The sequence below is a fragment of the Homo sapiens genome, chromosome 17, assembly GCF_000001405.40.
Source record: "Homo sapiens chromosome 17, GRCh38.p14 Primary Assembly".
NCBI lineage: Eukaryota > Metazoa > Chordata > Mammalia > Primates > Hominidae > Homo > Homo sapiens.
Window position 1 is genome coordinate 53778806 of NC_000017.11, and position 21539 is coordinate 53800344.

The 21539-nt window shown below is 39.7% G+C and overlaps 1 annotated feature.

Moving 5' to 3' along the window:
* Positions 12608 to 13108: an enhancer, noted in NCBI's record as "H3K4me1 hESC enhancer chr17:51868774-51869274 (GRCh37/hg19 assembly coordinates)". NCBI's record gives its function as "activates a minimal SCP1, AML or CMV promoter by ChIP-STARR-seq in primed H9 embryonic stem cells {active_cell/tissue: H9 hESC(primed)}" and the evidence as "EXISTENCE:reporter gene assay evidence [ECO:0000049][PMID:30033119]".

Sequence of the window (21539 nt, forward strand, 5' to 3'; positions counted from 1 at the left end):
GCTCTGGGACTGTTCCACTCACAAGTGTACATTGGTATTCAAACAAAGCCTCAAGGGGAACCCTCCATGGATCTCCAATTCTCTCTCTCTCTCTTTCTCTCTCTCTTCTCTCTCTTTCCCTCTGGGGATCTTAGCACTTTTTATCTGGTTATTTCACCTACAAACTTTGTTTCTTTGGCCTCCTCCAACTCCAAACTTTGTTTTCTTAGTCCAGCAAGGCCACCAAGCTATAAAGTCTTCCCGCTCTCTGTACGGTGTCCAGAAAACTCCAGGCAGTAGGTTAGGGCAATCACAGATCCTACCTTCTTTATGTCCTTCCTCTCAGGGACCCATCTCTTAAAATGTCTGTTGTTCTATGTCTGAAGACAATTGTTTCATATATTTGCCTAGTTTTCTAATTGTTGAACAGAAAGAGTAAGTTTATTTCCTTACTCCTTAATAGCTAGAAGAGAAATTTAAGCCTTATTTCTAATTATGGAATAAAACTGGATTTCCTCTAGAAAATAAATTTCAGGAGCCCATGGGCAGATGAGAAAAGTAATATTTGATTTTTGGTTGTTCTTTTACCCCAATTTTTATAGATTGTTAGTTATATAGGGTTTCATATAAATATCAGCCTAGTTTGTCTTCCAGCAGGGCCATCCTTCTGTTCTGTTCCTTACAGTTACTGAAACATTGTGTATGGATTACTGACCATCCTAGTTCGTGGTCTTCTGTAACTGAGATGACTCATTATTGTGCTATTGAACAAGAGAGATCTGAATGCTATAATTTGGTTCTAATTTTCATCATGTTTGTTAATTGATCTGCTTCAGAAGTGCAAAATAGAATCACTTGGTCAACATTTTTTTTTAAAAAAGACATGCAGATAGGAAGGGCCAAGATGGCTGAATAGGAACAGCTCCTATTCAGGAGCTAATAGGTCTGCAGCTCCTAGAGAGACCAACGCAGAAGGTGAATGATTTCTGCATTTCTAACTGAGGTACCCAGTTCACCTCACCGGGATTGTTTAGGAAGTGGGTCCAACCCACAGAGGGCGAGCAGAAGCAGGGTGGGGCTTGGCTTCACCTGGGAACTGCAAGAAGCCAGGGGACCTCCCTCCCCCAGGCAAGGGAAGCCATGAAGGACTGTGCTACCCGGCTGGGTTACTATGCGTTTCCCACAGTTTTTGCAATCTGCAGATCAGGAGATTCTCTCGTGTGCCTACACCACTGGGGTTCTGGGTTTCAAGCACAAAACTGGGTGGCTGTTTGGGCAGACACTGAGCTAGCTGCAAGAGTTTTTTTCATACCCCAGTGGCACTTGCAACCCCAGTGAGACAGAACCATTCACTCTCTTGGAAAGGGAGCTAAAGCCAGAGAGCTAAGTGGTCTCACTCAGCAGTTCCCACTGCCACGGGGCCCATGAAGCTTGAAATTCTCGCTGACAGCTCAGCAGTCTGAAATCCACCGGGGATGATCGAGCTTGGTGGGGGAAGGGACATTCGCCATTATTGAGGCTTTGGTAGGCGGTTTTCCCCTGACAGTGCTAAGGAGGATGGAAGGTTTGGACTGGGCAGAATTCACCACAGCACAGCAAAGCAAAGTGGCTGTGGTCAGACTGCTTTTCTAGATTCCTCCTCACTGGGCAGGGCATTCTCTGAAAGAAAGCTAACAGCCCCAGTCAGAGGTTTACAGATAAACTTCCATCTCCCTGGGACAGGGCACCTGGGGAAAGGGGCAGCTGTTCACACAGCTTCAGTGAATGTAATCGTTCCTGCCTGCCAGCTCTGAACAGAGCAGCTGATCCTGGCAAGATGGATTCTCCCAGCACTGAGCACCAGCTCTGCCAAGAAACAGACTGCCTCCTCAAGTGGGTCCCTGAGCCCCGTGCCTCCTGACTGGGATAGACTTCCCAACAGGGGTTGACAGACACCTCATAGAGGAGAGCTCCGGCTGGCAACTGGCCGGTGCCCCTCTGGGATGAAGCTTCCAGAGGAAGGAGCAGGCAGCAATCTTTGCTATTCTATAGCCTCCACAGGTGATACCCTGGTGAACAGGGTCTAGAGTGGACCTCCAGCAAACTGCAGCAGACCTGCAGAAGAGGGACCTGACTGTTAGAAGAAAAACTAGCAAACAGAAAGCAACAACATCAACATCAACATAAAGAACCCCCACACTAAAACCCCATCCAAAAGTCACCAGTCACAAAGATCATAGGTAGATAAATCTATGAAGATGAGAAAGAAACAGTGCAAAAATGCTGAAAATTCCAAAAAACCCCAGAATGCTTCTTCTCTTCCATATGATCACAACTCCTCTCCAACAAGGACACAAAACTGGATGGAGAATGAGATTGACCAATTGACAGAAGTAAGATTCAGAAGGTGGCTAATAACAAACTCTGAGCTAAAGGAGCATGTTCTAACCCAACGCAAGGAAGCTAAGAACCTTGATAAAATGTTACAGGAACTGCTAACTGGAATAACCCCTTTAAAGAGGAATGCAAATGACCTGAGGGAGCTGAAAAACATAGCACGAGAACTTTGTAAAGCATAAACAAGTATCAATAGCCTAATCGATCAAGCAGAAGAAAGGTTATCAGAGATTGAAGATCAACTTACTGAAATAAGGCGTGAAAACAAGGTTAGAGAAAAAAGAATGACAAGGAACGAACAAAGCCTCCAAGAAATATGGGACTCTGTGAAAAGACCAAACCTATGATTGATTGGTGTACCTGAAAGTGACGGGGAGAATGGAACCAAGTTGGAAAACACACTTCAGGATATTATCCAGGAGAACTTCCCCAACCTAGCAAGACAGGCCAACATTCAAATTCAGGAAATACAGAGAACACCACTAAGATACTCCTCGAGAACTGCAATCCTAAGACACATAATTATTAGATTCTCCAAGGTTGAAATGAAGGAAAGAATATTAAGGGCAGCAAGAGAGAAAGGTCAGGTCACCTACAAAGGGAAGCCCATCAGACTAACAGCAGATCTCTCCGCAGAAACCCTACAAGTCAGAAGAGAGTGGGGGGGCCAATATTCAATATTCTTAAAGAAAAGAATTTTCAACCCAGAATTTCATATGCAGCCAAATTAAGCTTCATAAATGAAGGAGAAATAAAAACCTTTACAGACAAGCAAATGCTGTGAGATTTTGTCACCACCAGGCCTGCCTTACAAGAGCTCCTGAAGGAAACACTAACAAGGGAAAGGAAAAACTTGTATCAGCCACTGCAAAAACACACCAAGATATAAAGACCTATAACACTATAAAGAAATTACATCAACTAATGTGCAAAATAACCAGCTAGCATCACCATGATGAGATCAAATGCACACATCACAATATTAACGTTAAATTTAAATAGGCTAAATGCCTCAATTAAAAGAAATGGGCTGGCATATTGGATATAGGGTCAAGACATATTGGTGTGCTGTATTCGGGAGACCCATCTCATGTGCAAAGACACACATAGGCTCAAAATAAAGGGATAGAGGAATATTTACCAAGCAAACGGAAAGCCAAAAAAAAAAAAAAAAAAAGCAGGGCCTTTTGGTTTCATATGGAACCAAAAAAGAGCCTGCATTGCCAAGACAATCCTAAGCCAAAAGAACAAAGCTGGAGGCATCACGCTACCTGACTTCAAACTCAACTACAAGGCTACAGTAACCAAAAAAGCATGGTACTGGTACCAAAACAGATATATAGACCAATGGAACAGAACAGAGCCCTCAGAAATAATACCACACATCTACAACCATCTGATCTTTGACAAACCTGACAAAAACAAGAAATGGGGAAAGGATCCCCTATTTAATAAATGGTGCTGGGAAAACTGGCTAGCCATATGTAGAAAGCTGAAACTGGATCCCTTCCTTACACCTTATACAAAAATTAATTCAAGATGGATTAAAGACTTAAATGTTAGACCTAAAACCATAAAAACCCTAGAAGAAAACCTAGGCATTACCTTTCAGGACATAGGCATGGGCAAGGATTTCATTACTAAAATACCAAAAGCAATTGAGACAAAAGCCAAAATTGACAAATGGGATCTAATTAAACTAAAGAGCTTCTGCACAGCAAAAGAAACTACCGTCAGAGTGAACAGGCAACCTACAGAATGGGAGAAAATTTTTACAATCTACCCATCTGACAAAGGGCTAATATCCAGAATCTACAAAGGACTTAAACAAATTTACAAGAAAAAATCAAACAACCCCATCAGAAAGTGTGCAAAGGATATGAACAGACACTTCTCAAAAGAAGACATTTATGCAGCCAACAGACACATGAAAAAATGCTCACCATCACTGGCCATCAGAGAAATGCAAATCAAAACCACAATGAGATACCATCTCACACCAGTTAGAATGGCAATCATTAAAAAGTCAGGAAACAACAGGTGCTGGAAAGGATGTGGAGAAATAGGAACACTTTTACACTGTTGGTGGGATTGTAAAATAGTTCAATCATTGTGGAAGACAGTGTGGTGATTCCTCAGGGATCTAGAACTAGAAATACCATTTGACCCAGCAATCCCATTACTGGGTATATACTCAAAGGATTATAAATCATGCTGCTATAAAGAAAAACACACATGTATGTTTATTGCGGCACTATTCACAATAGCAAAGACTTGGAACCAACCCAAATGGCCATCAATGATAGACTGGATTAAGAAAATGTGGCACATATACACCGTGGAATACTATGCAGCCATAAAAAAGATGAGTTCATGTCCTCTGTAGGAACATGGATGAAGCTGGAAACCATCATTCTGAGCAAACTATCTCAAGCACAAAAAACCAAACACCGCATGTTCTCACTCATAGGTGGGAATTGAACATGAGAACACTTGGACACAGGGTGGGGAACATCACACACCAGGGCCTGTCATGGAGTCAGGGGAGGGAGGAGGAATGGCATTAGGAGATATACCTGGTGTAAATAACGAATTAATGGGTGCAGCACACCAACATGGCACATGTAGACATATGTAACAAACCTGCGCGTTGTGCACATGTACCCTAGAACTTAAAGTATAATAATATATAAAAAAAGATTTAGGCATGGACAAAAACTTCATGACTAACACCAAAAGCAATTGAGACAAAAGCCAAAATTGACAAATGGGATCTAATTAAACTAAAGAGCTTCTGCACAGCAAAAGAAACTACCATCAGAGTGAACAGGCAACCTACAGAATGGGAGAAAATTTTTACAATCTACCCATCTGACAAAGGGCTAATATCCAGAATCTACAAAGGACTTAAAGAAATTTACAAGAAAAAAACAAACAACCCCATCAAAAAGTGGGCAAAGGATAGGAACAGACGCTCCTCAAAAGAAGACATTTATGCAGCAGACAAACATATGAAAAAAAAAGCTCATCATCACCGGTCATTAGAGAAACGCAAATCCGAACCATAATGAGATATCATTTCATGCCAGTTAGAATGGCGATTATTAAAAAATCCTGAAAGAACAGATGCTGGCAAGACTGTGGTGAAATAGGAACACTTTACACTGTTGGTGGAAGTGCAAATTAGTTTAATCATTGTGGAACACAGTATGGCGATTCTTCAAGGATCTATAACCAGAAATGCCATTTGATCCAGCAATCCCATTACTCGGTATATACCCAAAGGATTATAAATCATTCTACTATAAAGACACATGCACACATATGTTTATTGCAGCACTATTTACAATAGCAAATACTTGGAACCAACCCATATGCCCATTGATTATAGTTTGGAATGTGGCGCATATACACCATGGAATACTATGCAGACATAAAAAAAAGAGTTAATGTTTTTGCAGGGATATGGATGATGCTGGAAGCAATCATCTACAGCAAGTTGACACAGGAACAGAAAAACAAATGCCGAATGTTCTCACTTATAAGTGGGAGTTGAACAACGAGAACACATGGAAACAGGGAGGGGAAGATCACATACGGGGCCTGTCGGTGGGTAGGGGGCAGGGGAAGGGAAAGCATTAGGACAAATACCTAATGCATGACAGATTGATAGGTGCAGCAAACCACTATGGCACATGTATACCTATGTAACAAATCTGCACATTCTGCACATGTATCACAGAACTTAAGTAAAATTCTTATTTTACTTAAAGTAAAATAAAATAGACAGGCTCTTTATCTCAGAAGAACTGAACAGATAGCGTTTCTAAAAGTGAGTCTGATGGAGTCCACAATTGGGAATTATTTTATTTTATTGATTGTATATATATAAATATATATATATTTTTTTTTTTGAGACGGAGGCTTGCTCTGTCGTCAGGCTAGAGTGCAGTGGCGCGATCTCGGCTCACTGCAACCTCCGCCTCCTGGGTTTAAGCGATTCCCCTGGCTCAGCCTCCTGAGTAGCTGGGACTACAGGCATGCACCACCATACCTGGCTAATTTTTTGCATTTTAGTAGATACAGGGTTTCACCATGTTGGCCAGGATGGTCTCAATCTCCTGACCTCGTGATACTCCCGCCTCGGCCTCCCGAAGTGCTGGGTTTACAGGCTTCTGCCACTGCGCCCGGCCCACAGTTGGGAATTAAGTGTCCTGTTGATCACTAGTCTACTTGTCAGAGATATGTTTGAATAGGGATTTCCATACTATAATCAAAAAGGTGCTGATATTATTGTGTGAATAATCATAATATACATTCTCAGAGACTGAAGAATGATTATTTTGTGTAATTTTTATATTTAATCATTTTATTCTTCTCTTGAAGCCTAGTGTAGAATATCTACTAACTTCTTTTTTTACTTGAATACTAGGGAACTCACCTTTCCCACATCAGACTGGAAAACAGAGTTCCTTCATAAAAACCTTAATTGGCCAAGAGATAAATAGGATTCCTTCACGGAGAAGTAGTAGAACAGGAGAAGGAAAATGAGGAGAAGAAGGTGAAGGAAAGGGAAAGGGGAAGGGAGAGAGGCAGAGGGTTCATTTATTTGTGGACATCTCACATGTATAATGATTCGGTTACAGATTCATTTATTCATCATCTTGCTGGGCTTGGTGCTACAGGTAGAGATTTGATTGAAATTTAATCCTCACTAGCAGACAGGTATCCAGTCAAACAAGATCAGTGGATTGGTAAAAGTCAGTGAGATTAAAGGTGGCCCTAACAAAAAAATGTCACCTATCACTAAGAACAACAACAAAATCTTAAAAGTGTCTACTCTGAGTCACCCAACTTCTGAGACAACTTGTGTCATTTAACACATTTTACAGTCAAAATAGAAATGTGTCATAAGCTCTAAATACAGCAACGACACCGGTACCAACACAGATGTTTATTTCAGATCTTTTACACTACTTCTCAAACATGTACCTTTTCTTTCAGCAGCCTCAAAGATGTTATAATTGGAAGAAAAGTACTTTGCAATTACTGTTTTGAAGTTTTCACCTCTGGGACAGTTTTCTGTTGTAGGTATGTAACTTGGAAGTTATAGAAAGATACCATCTTAAGAACTTAAGATTGTACTCTGCTATGCAACAGGCAGTGAGCAAAGGTAAAGATATGAGAATATAATTTAAAGAGACAAAGAGACTCTCAGGTCAGAGACTTTCCAAAAATAGATGATGGATTGTATTTTTTTTTTAAATTTTCAATGTGAAGAGAAGGCTAACTTGCCTCAAAGGAAGCAACATAGAAATAAATATGCCATTGTCCACCCCAAATCCACCTAGGAGAAGATAAAACTTTAGTTAGCAAACTTTACGATTAAGGTGCTGTAAGCTGAATATTTGTGTCCCTCTCCCAAAACTTATACATTGAAGCCTAATCCTCAATGTGATGGCATTATAGGTGAGGCCTTTGGGAAGTAATTAGGTCATGTGGCCGGAACCCTCATAAGTAGGATTAATGCCCCTACTCATAAAAAAAGGAGAACACAGGAGATCTCTCTCTGCTCGTTCCCATGACAGGATACAATGACAACAGAGCCATTTATTTGCATACTGGGAAGAGTGCTCCCACTAGACACCAGACTGCCTGACACTTTGATCTTCGACTGCACAGTATCCAGAACTGTGAGAAATAAATGTTTGTTCTCTAAGCCACCCAGTTGATTGTTAGTTGTTGTAGCAGCCAGAAATAACTACAACCTAAGATTCTTTTTAGTGAGATGAGTGTATTAGGCTATTAAACAATCAAGTTACCTAATTCTTCTATTCTGTCTTTAAGCAATATTCTGAACATAATTTGGATTTTCACGTAGATATGTCTACAATGAGAAAGTGTGTTAATCATGTGAACTTTTGGACAATTTTTCATGTTATAAATCAATATGTTTTCATTATATCTCAATACATAAATCCTATGAGCTTAGTTTAATATGAGACATTGATTGAGAAACAAGTCTACTCTTCATGAGAAGACTAAATTAGGTTTCTGAGCCCAAAACAATGAACAAACAAAAAACCCGAGAGAGTGACCTAGTAAACTCACCAAGCTCTCTGGGCCATAGCTAAGTAGATGACATATACCACTCAATATGTTTTACAGTTTCCAAATTTCTTTAATACTTTCTTAAATTGTAAGGGTAGAATGGTCAAACATGTTATTTTATTCATTCATATTTACAATACCCTATTTTGTCTTGTCTAACACATGGGAAAAATTGAACACAACTCTGCTTGCTAGCTGCTTTTCTAAAACAGGGGATATAGCTAAGTTCAGGGAGATACCTTCAAAATGTGTCACTTAATAGAATACAACATGGATGAATCTTCAAACATTATACTAAGAGAAAAAAGCCAGAAACAAAAGGCCATATATTTTACAATTTCAATTATATGAAATGTCCAAAATAAGCAAATCCATAAAGAGAGATTAATGTTTGCTAGAGTCTGGGGGAAGGGAGATGAGGGAGTGACAATTAATGGATACATGGATTTTGGGGAGGAGTGATGAGAATGTTCTGGAAATGTATAGTCATGATGGTAGCATATCTTTATAAGTATACTAAAAACCACTGAATTAGACACATTAAACAGGTTAAGTTTTTGGCATGTGAATTATAATCTCAATTTTTAAAAATGCTAATAGGGGCCATATGAAGGTAGTTGGATTTCAAATTATTTTTACTTTTACCCTTCGTATAGATTATTTATTTTTTAAATGAACGCAGTCTGGGATGAACAATAGACAGCTTTCATGAGTGTGGGGGACCTAGCTGAAAATCAGGCCACTTAGAGATTGTAATATAAATATCTGACTGTTAATGCCATACATACCTAGAAAAGTAAAACATTAAAATTCCATTTTAATTCTCTTCAGCTGGCATTGGTTATTATCAGCAACATGCTAAGTACAGAGTTGTGTAAATCTTTGGTCCCACTTTATATGAAATGGACTTGTATATGTTGATATAGATATTTACCTGGGATTAGTAAAATTTAAGCCTTTATGAAGTTGCCCATTTCTTCAATAAATATTTCTTCAGCTATTATATGAGACTTGAGTTACTATATGACATGAACTGTGTCAGTTACAAAACCCAGTGTGAGCAAACACTAAGTTCTTCCCCCAAATGCTCCTTAGAACAAGGGTCACAGATGAAAAATTAGACTGGAAAATCCGTTAAATTGACCTACCATAGTATTCACACAACTTTTCATTCTTAATGTAAATGTAAGGAAAATGCAAGATTTCTTTTTCTTTTCTTTCCAACAGCCCCCAGTTTACACAGACACTAGTAGTAGATGTGGGAAATACACACTTGGGTGACTATAACCTATTTACAATGAGAGAAAAATCTTCAGGGATGAGTTAACATGTTTTATAGTGTTAATTACAGAAAGTGCAATACTAATAATGTTCAGGAGTTAATTAACCACTTTCTGAACTTCACTCGTCTTGTCTCACACACTTGGCAGAGGCCATCAAAGTAATAATCTGTATCAAAGACTCTTATCTACTTTGAGGTTTGCAGAACTTCTTTGAGAATCTCTTTATGTCTTTTCTTTCTAATAAATGCATATAAGCACATTTAAACTGAAAACTGCAGAAATATCAAGGTTTTAATAATTATCTTGGAAACCATCCATACATTCCTGAAACCTCAGAGATCTTAGGTTACAATTAATTCACTTATATGAAGAATGTCTTATTAATATAGATTAATACATTTTAGTTCATTCAATTAATTAAATGTTATCCATTATAAAATACTTAGAATTGTCTGGCTTACAGTAAGCTGTCAATGAGTGTTAGATCTTTTATTTTTACAGCATATGTTGAGCATATCATGTATTAGGCACTTTCTTAAATGCTAGATTAATAATATATAACATTTTCTATGTTTACTGTAAGACAGACATATATTTAATACTTTTAATTACCCTATGCAGTATATATTTTCGTGCTTACTGCTTTAAGATGAAGAAACTGGCTGTACTGAAATTATCTTGCCCAAAGCCAGTAGGGCTTATCATCAAATCTAGTACTTTACTACGACTTCTCTTCAATACCAGTAGAGAAACGGTAGGGCTTGTATTCAAATCTATTGCTTCTGATTCCAGAACCCATCCTTTTATTTCTGTGATATTCCATTGTTAGCAGATTTCACTCAACCTATGAAAAGCTTGTCTGGGATGATTCACTCACATCACCCAGGTGAACATATATCTCTTATAGGAAGAACTTTCAGTTAATATCAACTCAGATCAAAGCTAAACCTAGAGAGAGGCAAACTCCATAGTTGAAGTAAACGACATGACATAAATTTGCATTGGCAGAGTGCTTAAAGTGCTACCTTTTCAAAAGTAAAAGAGTATATAAATTATCATAAACTTCTTTTGTTGAATGAACTCTCCCCTCATTCACCTCACTAGAAAAGGCTGAATATTTGAATTCCTATAATTTTAATATCAAGAATCCTAGTGCACATTTAAAAGGTTATACAGTTTGTGAAAGGAATGAGACTTTGCCCCTTGCTTTTGCCTTATGATGGTGTAAGTCAAAGGTGCTATAGTTTAAAATACTCTTGGTTAAATCTCAGATTTGGGCTTGTGCATTTAAATTCTAGAGATATTATTAAGACTGTTGGTCTCCTTAAGAATCAAGACAGGTTTTTAAAACTTGCTAAGATGTTTGATTTTAAATACTTCTTAGATGAAAAAGTACCAGAGTCTAAAATGTTCAGATCTAGAAAAAAAGAGAGATTTGTTTACCAGTACATGTTTGAATTTTTAGGAAAACAAAAAGATTCATGGAGATATGGCCTTTAATCAAGCTATGTTTCCAATGCAGATGAAACTGAAGTGCAAATGCAAAAATAAGCTGGCTTGTCAATCATAGCTAGTCGAATCACCAGGGGTGTGAAACGTTTGGATTTTTGGATTTTAAAGGGTTAGACAAAGACGGGATAGAAACTTGCTGTGTTGAAAAGGATACTGTTTTTGGAATTTTCAGACTTTTTGTCCTTACTGTTAAAATAAACAGCATCGATGGCACTCATTTCTCCTACTCCTTCTTCCTCCTCTTAAATTAAGTTTAGCCTCAAGCTGCCTCCTTACATATTTTAAGTTTGGCCTAAGGGTTTTTCTGTACATCGTGAACTATAACCAGCAGAGGTATAAACAGACCGTTGCCTACACTTGGGCCAATCAGCGAGTTTTGGCCAAATAGCCAACTATTCCAACCATGTTCAAATATGGCAAACACTGTAACCAATCCAGCAATTTCTATACTTCACTTCTGTTTTCTGTACCTCACTTTCCTTTTTCTGTCCATAAATCTTCCACCACGTGGCTGCACTGGAGTCTTTGAGCCTACTTGGGCTCGGCAGGCTACCCTATTAATGTAGTGTTCATGGCTCAATTAAACTCCTTTAAATTTAATTCAACTGAAGTTTTTTTCTTTTAACACTCCTCAGCAAAAAAACATTTGTAATGCTCCCTGCCTCACCAGCTAATCCATTCTTATCATCTGGTATTCTACTGGACATTATATTTTTAAACAGTCACTAGGAGAAATACACTTGCAAATAGCTAGTTGAGACTGAAAAATGATCGAAGAAGTTTAAATCTGATGAGACTCCTAGGGAAATACCTATTAGAAGCATGTGCATGGGTTGAGGGAGCTAAGAGAAGTCATAGTAAGAAACACAGTAATGGCCAGTCGTGGGTGGCTCAGGCCTTTAACCCCAGTCCTTAGGGAGGCCAAGGCAGGCAGATTACCTGAGGTCAGGAGTTTGAGACCAGCCTGGCCAACATGGTGAAACCCCATCTCTACTAAAAATACAAAAATTAGCCAGGCATCATGGTGGACACCTGTAATCCCACTACTCCAGAGGCTGAGGCAGGGGAATCACTTGAACCTGGGAGGTGGATGTTGCAGTGAGCCGAGTTTGTGCCACTACACTCCAGCCTGGGTGACAAAACAAGACTGTCTCAAGACAAAAAAAGAAAAACAGTAAAACCTATGGAGACCCATAATTACAAAGAAGCATGCTGACGGTATATAGCTGGTCAAACAAACAAACAAACAAAAAACAGGGAACAGGGAGACTCAGGAACATCTTATTCTGAATTCTATATTCTTCCCACGCTCTTCATAGACCCAACTCTAACAAATTGTTTTTGGGAAACCCTTTATTCCCCCAAGGCTCTGAGTTATTTTAGAAGGAGTGTATTAGATTCACATTTGGCTACTTAGAGACAGATGTATACATCCATGTTACTTAAATGTTGACAATCTGCAATGCGAAGGCTTGAAGCACGCAAAAAATACTTGGTGTCTGCTCTAAAGACAGAGCCAATACGATAGCTCCCTAATGATGGTGGCAGGGGCCCATCTGGGGTGGCCACTGTGAGGACTCCAGCTGCAGTGGGGGAGGTGCGACCAGGGCTGTGCGCTCGGTGGGGGCTGGTAACTGGTGATCCCAGTGGGAGCCCCATACCCTACTGAGTTGGCAGGGAGGGAGTCCTTGCCTGCAGGTGCAGCTACAGCTGCCCAGCTGCAGCTCCAGACCCAGGCATCCCTGCACTCTTGGGAGCTCAGGAAGCCCTCTTCCCCTGCAGGCTCAGAAGTGCCTGCTCCCACTCACAAACCTTTTCCTGCTCCTGGTGCCGACTCCAGTGCAGAGCAAAGTTATGGCTAAGCCCGAGGGCTGTCACAGCCTGGCCGGGTGTGCGTGTACTTGGGGCAGCACTGACGTACAAGCCCCCTGTTCCCTTGGCCCCTTCCAGACTTTGAGCACCGACAAGTGTGGGAGGGAGGCTGAGGTACTGAGGGCAGCTTGTCGTGGGCCTGTGGGTGCCCCTCAGCAGGAACAGCCTGTGCACTGTGGATGTAATGTTGATGGCAGCGGGAGGCACACAGATTCTTAGGAGGGAAGGGGCAGGTCCCCAGTGAAACCCCACCTTCAAGCCAGGGAGAGGTTGAAGCTTGGGGGCCAGGCTCCCAGTTCCAGGTGGGGTTCATGACCAGGAGTGAGAACTTCATTGATGTCTTTCAGCCAGTCAGATGGTGCTTTTTCCAGGCCTGCCTATGTCTGCCTATGGACAAGTCAGCATGCGCTTCCTCCATTCTGAGCATATTAAGAACCCCAGACTCAGCCAGAGTCAGACACTTGTCAGGATGACCAGCCTGCAGAAAGGAGCTACCCACTTCAGGTCTCCTGAGAGCCATTCTGTCACTCAATAAAGCTCTCCTCCTTGCTTACCCTCCAGTTGTCCACATAAATTCATTCCTCCTGGACATGGGACAGGAACTCGGGAATTGACAAATGCAGGGAGTGAAAGGAACTGTAACACATTCCTGGCCAGCTCGCTAAGCTGCAGGTGGCGACACAGTCCTGGACTGCAGGAGTGAAGAGTGGCAACCCTTCCGGGGCCCAGACCTTAGAATACCCATGGCCAGAACTGCTGTAACACTATATCCCTCCACCAGTGCTGGGTGGTTGCCCCACAAGACAGGAAGCAGCAGCGGTACAGGGTCAGCCCAAGAGCTGTGGCCAGAGTGGGACAGTGGGACTGAGAGACCTGTAACACAAACAGGCTGAAACACATCCCCCCAAAACTCGCCCCCTCACTCACCAAGCTGTGGGCAATAATAAGGAGAGAAGAGCTGTGGCCTTTCTGGGAGCCCAGACCTCGGGGCTCCCTAAGTCAGGGATGTGACATGCTATAACACTCTCTTTGGGGCTCTGTGGTTCCTGGCATCTCTGAGTTTTTGGGTGCCACCATCTTTTCCTCATCCAGATGCTGGTGCCTGCAGCAGAAGCTTCTAGTGGTACATCTGGTCCAGCCTCAGCCTTGCACAAAGCTGGCACCTGGAACTACCTGCCACACTACAGCAGGCAGTGTGCCTGGCTGTGCTCAGTGTCCAGACCCCATGCTCGCTTGCTCACACACCCCTTGCCACTCCCCACCTGGCTCGTGGCATCCAGGCCAGTAACGCGAGCTGAGTACAGCCTGCCAGGCCAAGTCAGCATAACAAGCCCAGCAGGCAAGAGCAATACTCAAGCAGAAGGTGCCACTGCCCACAGAGGTTTCCAGCTGGCGAAGTGACACCCTAAGGATCCAATGACACTACTATACAAGTTGCAGGAACATGAGAACACTTTCCTTCTTTCATCTTGATTTGTCCTTAAATCTAGTTCAGTGAAAATGTGCATGGCAAACTGCCTTCCACCATGAAATCTGCTAAACGAGCACCCTGTTCCCATTAGTTACTGAACACACACACACAAGCGCACACACACACACACACACACACACACACACACACAGAGAGAGAGTTATTCTTCTCATCTATCCTAAATTTTACTGACCTGGGGCACAGTCCCAGAATATAAAACCTCTAGCTTTCAAACAAAGGGACAATTCAATGACACACAGCTCCTGAGAGAAATTTCCATTAAAAAAAATAAAAGCAAAATGAGCCCAGGTAGGTAAGAGATTATCAGAGGGTAGTGCCATATTTCAGCCAGCTGATAAATATATGGCAGCACTGTAGGTCTTATCTACCTATGTCTCCTAGAATTGAGTAGTGAGGAGTTGTCAAGGAGATGCATATTAACACATTTATCTGCTTTGACAAATGAAATCAGGTATAGTCAGTGAGAAAATTACGCTGATTTGGCTGAATGGTTGTCCAGTAACCTCTGGTTTTTCTATGGTGAATATTTTCTCCATGGTGAATATTTTCCACAAACTGAATGAGGAAAATCTACTGTTCAAAACTTTGATGAAAATGTATTTAACAAATATAAACACTAGGTTGGGAAATAAACATGACAATTTTCAAACATAAAATTAGATGATAACTTAAAAATGTGTGAGGGGCCTAGCAGTTATTTTTAAAATATCTTAGGATGTGTATAAGCAAAAAAAAAAAATGTGTAGACAATTTGCTTGTACCAACTTTAGAACCCTAGTTAGACCTGAAATCTACAATTTAAAAATAATGGTAACGGATACCTTTTCAGAATAACATGCATCTATCATTCTTGGAATAGTTAAAGCAACAGGTATATTTAGCTCTTTAACTTACAGAAGAGCTGTTATGGGACATCCAGAAGCTAACCTTGATTATTTTAAAGATTATTTTTTCAGGAATAGGATTAATCCTCCAAATTTTTCTAGAAGACAGAACTAGAGTCAGTAGGCTAATCACTTTCAAGAAAGCAGATTTCATCTTAATATAAGGTAGAGCTCCCTAACCATGAGCACTGTCCAAAAATGTAGTAGATTTCCAACTCTGAACATGTCTAGCACAGGCTAGAGACACACTGGGTAGGAGGAATATAATAAGCTAGGTCATTTCTAGCTTTCAGACATAAAATAATGTAGCAGGTACAGTGACTCACTATTTATTGAACTTGGCCTTAAATCTTAAGGAAAGTAAATCTAACTCTTCTTCTTAGGAATGGTCAGATTTTCTGTACTTTCTGATGATCTTGTAGTGGAGAATAAGTGAAATTCATTTTCTTTAGCATGTGGTAATGACTACAAGCAAATAAATTTGATATTTATGAGATTCATGTAGAGGCCCCAAAGTATTCCACTGGGGAGCTTGAGATTGAATTATTCATCTACTGCAAAGGAATCACACAACAGCAAAAGTACCAGGCAGCATAATTTCACAACTCCTTTTATTTCTGTCATTGAAGAGATTTTCCAAGTTTAGTTTTCTCCTGTTTCAGGTAGGTGTACTATTTATTCTACTTCCTTGAAACAAAAATTCACAGCCAACATCATCACAAGGCATCTCTGTTCACTTTACTTTAACTATAAATAAACTCTGCTATCTGCAGCTCCTTGGCTGCCACCTCTGGAAATGTTGCCACAACTGGTCCTCACTTTCCCCTTCAGCTTCAGACTCTCTCTGTCTGACTCTTTTGGTGTTTTATTCTCTCATAAGTTATTTTCACCATTTTTTAAAATAAAAGTGATACAGAGAAAGGGGAAAGAAGAAGAAAGGAGGAAGAGACAGAAAATGACTCAAAGTTACCTTCCGTTTTTAAGAGGTCTCTTTGCATGGATAAACTGAAGTCATAAGTTGTGTGTCCTTGGATGATGCTTTAATATCATTAGTTTTTTGAAAATGAAGAGAATCCTGAGTTATTGCTTATGTTTATACAAATAAATCCCATATTTCACATCTGTCACTAACTTACTGACTTAATTGAATGCGTATCAGTTGGTATTTAAGGGCCAAAGAACTGTAAGAACTGATGTCATTTATTGAATCAAGCAATGGGTTATTGAAATTCCTGTAGCCCTGTTTTACGTGCTAGGGATGCAGAAGTGAGCAAGATCCATGTCTTCTGAGGCTTTCTGTCTAGTGAGCAGGTACACTAAATGTGTTTTTATCAGAAACAAAATCTATGTTGAAATCAGGGAAAAAACACATGGTGTAAGTAACTCCTGATTCTGTTAAGTTGAATTACGTGTACTCTGTTGTAAGTAAAGGGAAAATACTCACCTGCCCTACCCGGTGGTTTATGCTCATTTTGTCTCATCTCATAGAGAGAAAGTGTGTGGTGGTTGGGAGAAAAAATGAACTGGAATAGGTTGAACTTGAGTCTGAGTTTTATTTTTAACACTTACTAACTGTTGATCCACAGTGCTCTCTTTTCCTCTTCCTTCTTTCTTTACATGGGAACAGTAATAGATATGTCACATAGTCATGATAACTTCATGAGACAAAACATGCAAAACACATAGTAGTAGAGTGCTTTGGACCGAGTAGGTTGTTAAAAAATATTGCTTCTAATTTTTCTTCCCTTTACCTTCTTGTTCTTACCTGGCCACCATGAAAGGCAGACATGGAGACTCATTCAGCACTGCAAGTGGGACAGTTTGATTAGGCTTATTTCTTTTTCCTTCATCATAAACCCAATGTGTACACTGTGAAGTACACAAGAGACAGGAGAGCACAATACAAAATGATTACCTAATTTTAAGCGATTCTTTCAACAGCTTTCTCCACAGCTCATTTTAAAGTTTGTGGGGTTTTTTTTTTTTCACTTTCAGCTCACAAGGACTCTAACCTTGACTAAATGCTTATGTCTGCACACTTATTAGCATCACAGGGGTCCATTAGAAGGCCTGGTCCCTAGAGAAGGCAGGGAGGCACCTGTTAGATTGTTACTATTAGGAATGTTTATTTAACAAGAAGTGTGGAGGTTATCGTGTTGCAGAGAGACACCTGTTTCAAGGTCAAGCCTTCTGACTGTGGGCAGCGTGAATCCAGTGATTGGCTGATATGGGAGCAAAAAGGTCTTGCCCCCTTGAGGGAAATTAAGACAAGTCTGAAGGAACATCGTAAGCAGGGGCGGCTGAGGCCGTATTGTAATTTCATCACAGCCCAACTTTTCCTCCACCTCGTGTTTCTTCCTTCTCCTCTCCCACAGGTGTTGCTTGAGGGGACACATTCCAGTAAGTTTTTGTATGCACTAATCACTATCTCAGAGGCTGCCTTCTTGGGAAAGCCAACCTGCCATGAGGAGTCAGGTATTAACTGTCCCACTCATTGACATCAAGTGCCCTGCTCAGAGTCACAGTCTAGTGTCAATTCCATAACTCAAAAGCCCATGGCAGTCTATTAATACAATGGAATATTCCACAGCAACAAAAATAAATAAATACTGGCTGTACATAACAGCCAGTATTTATTTTGAGTCTTATGAAGCTGTGATTGAGACACAGAAGCTGAGACAAAAGAGTATATTTGTATCATGCCCAGTAAAATGTATTTCTCTGGGAAAACTTTCTATTTAAAAAATAGGAAAAACGAATCTGAAGTACCAGAATACAAAATAGTGATTATGCTTGAAAGGGGAAGTAAAGATTAGGAAGGAGCACCAGGGGGGGTGTCCTGGTGCTCATAAATGTTCTGTTTCTTGATCTGAGTGCTGGCTACACAGTTGATCTGAGTGCTGGCTACACAGTTGATCTGAGTGCTGGCTACTTTATGAATATTCACCCAACGATACACATAATTTGTGTGCACTTTTCTGTAAATAGATTATATTCCAATAAAATATATTTTAAAAAGAACAAAATATGTGTACTTGATAATGTAACCACTAGATAAATAAACTGATTCCAAAATTTAAGGCTACACAGGCATTTCATAGAATATTCCTCATGCTTATCATAAGCCAGGCAAAAATCACACAAGCAAGAAGAGGCAAGCATTCAGTATTAGATGGTTTTGTATGCTGCAGAATCATTTAAATATATGTCCCACAAAAAAATTTCCTCCTTCTTTATGATGACAAATTATTATGGCCTGGCAGGTGATAACTGCTGAAATATTTAGAAGGCACTTAAGATGGAGAAAAAAACCCTACAAATGCTATTTGAAATCCCTTTAAAGAAAATTTCTCTCCGAAGAGCAGAAAAACAAAGAGGGCAATTGATGGCAATTTATGACATGACAAAATCAATTACAGTCATGCGCCCCATAAAGACGTTTCACTCAACCACAGACTGCATAAACAATGGTGGTCCCACAAGATTATAATGGAGTTAAAAACGCATATTACCTAGTATTTACTATACTTTACTTCTTGTTGTTATTTTACAATGTACTCTCTCTGTGTGTATACATATACATATTTATATATATAATAGTGTATATATCTGTCATATATATATATACACAGTATATATAAACACACACTCTGTGCATATATATGGAATGTATATATATATGTCATATATGTGTATATATATACAGTATGGATATCAGAGAGCGAGAGAGAGATAAAGTTAGCCATGTAACAGCCTCAGGCAGCTTCTTCAGGAGAAGGCACTGTTGTCACAGCAGATGACAGATTCATACCTCTTATTGCCCCTGAAGACCTTCCAAAAGGACAGGACATGGAAGCCAATGTTATGGTGATGATCCTGGCCCTGTGTGGGCCTAGGCTAATGTGTGTGTTTGTGTCTTAGTTTTTTTTGTTTTTTCAAATATTTAAATAGAAAAAAATTAAAATAGAAAAAAAGCCCATATAATTTAAAGGAAACAAAGAAAGAAAATGTTTTTGTACAGCTGTACAATGTGTTTTATGCTAAATGTTATTACAAAAGAATTAAAAAGATTTTTAAAGGCTTATAAAGTAAAAAGTTACAGTGTTATCATAAGCTAAGGTTAATTTATTATTGAAGAAAACATTGTTTTTATAAATGTAGTGTAGCCTAAGTGTACTGTGCTTATAAATTCTACAGTAGTGTTCAATAATGTTCTAGGCCTTCACATTCACTCACCACTCACTCACTGATTCACTTAGAGCATCTTCCATTCCTGCAAGCTCCATTCCTGGTAAGTGCCTTCTACAGGTGTACCACTTTTTAATCTTTTATACCATACTTTTACTGTCCCTTTTCTATGTTTGGATTTGTTTAGATACACACATACTTACCTTTGGGTTCCAATTACCTACAATATTCAGAACAGTAACATGTTGTACAGATTTGAAACCTAGGAGCAATAGGCTATGTCATTTATTCTAAGTGTGTGATAGGCCATACCGTCTAGGTTTGTGTAAGTACACTCTGATGTTCACACAACAATGAAATTGCCTAAGGAGGTTTCTCGTGATGTACGCCTGCCATTAAGTGATGCGTGACTACAGCTTCTTATTGGATTGTTTTGCTTTTAGAGTGAATACCTTGAAGATAACAAACTCACTTACTTTTTATGCCACAAATATATCATGTAGCATTGTGGCTCTGCAAGAATGAAAATTGTAACAAAGTTGCTTCTTGAGTAGGAAAAACAACTATAAACTGGCTTCAATGTGATATTGTGATGTAATAAGAAATAAATATCTGATCTTAGTTGCCAGTTCTCAGGTAGAGTTCCTAAAACCCTTGTAATTTCCTAAGTGATAAAGGTAAAAGGAGCATCTTCTGTAGTTCATTAACAAAATCCCTTTCAAACACACATGAGTTTACGTGAACGAGATGACTTTTGGAAATCCCTTAAAGGTAGGAGATAGTTACCCGGGAAACCAACCATATAGTTAGAGGATTGAAACTTTCAGCCTCACCCTCCAAACCACAGGGGGAGAGGAAAGAGTACTGGAGATTGAGTGAATCACTAGTGGCCAATAATTTCATCCAGCATGCCTAAGTAATAAAGCCTGCAGAAAAACCTTAACTGAAAGGATTTGGAGAATGTCCAGGTTGCTGAACATATGAAGGTGCTGGGTGGGTGGCTTGTCCAGAGAGGGTATAGAAGCCCCATGCCCCTTCTCCATATTTTGCCCTGTGGGTCTCTTCCATCTGGCTGTACTTCAGTTGTATTCTTAATAGTAAACCAGCAAATGGAAGTGAATGTTTCCTTGAGTTTTGTGAACCCTTCTGTGAACTCCATAAAAAAAGAAGAAAATCCTGTTATTTGTTGCAACATGGATGGTCATTATGTTAAGCAAAATAAGCCAGGCATGGAAAGGTGAATCTTATATGTCCTCATTCATATGTGGGAGCTAAAAACGTTGATCTCATGGAGGTAGAGAGTCCAGTAGTGGTTACCAGAGACTGGGAAGTGGGAGGAATGAAAAGAATTTGGTTAGTGGGTATGAAGCAGAGTTCAATAGGAGGAATAAGTTCTATTATTCAATTGTACAGTAGGGAGATTATAATTAATGATAATATATTGTACATTTCAAAATATCTAGAAAAGAGAAAAATTGGAATATTCCCAGCACAAAGAATGAATACATATATGATATTTTAGCTATCCCAATTACCTTGATTTGGTAATTGTACATGTACATTGGGTACATGTATGAAAATATCACATGTACCCTATGTATAACTATTATATATCAATAATAAATAGGTACTCAAATAGTTTTTATATGGCATAATTTTCCTGCAGAGTTGGAAATGGTCGCTACACCCTTTAACCTCTGACTATACACTCTCCTTTATGTCTTCTCACTCATCATCTTTTATTTTTCTCCTCCTTGCTAACCCTGGTCCAGCTTTGAGGGCTTTCTTACAATCCTTTTGATTCCACAAACAAGCCAGATATGCTTTCACCTTCATGTCTTT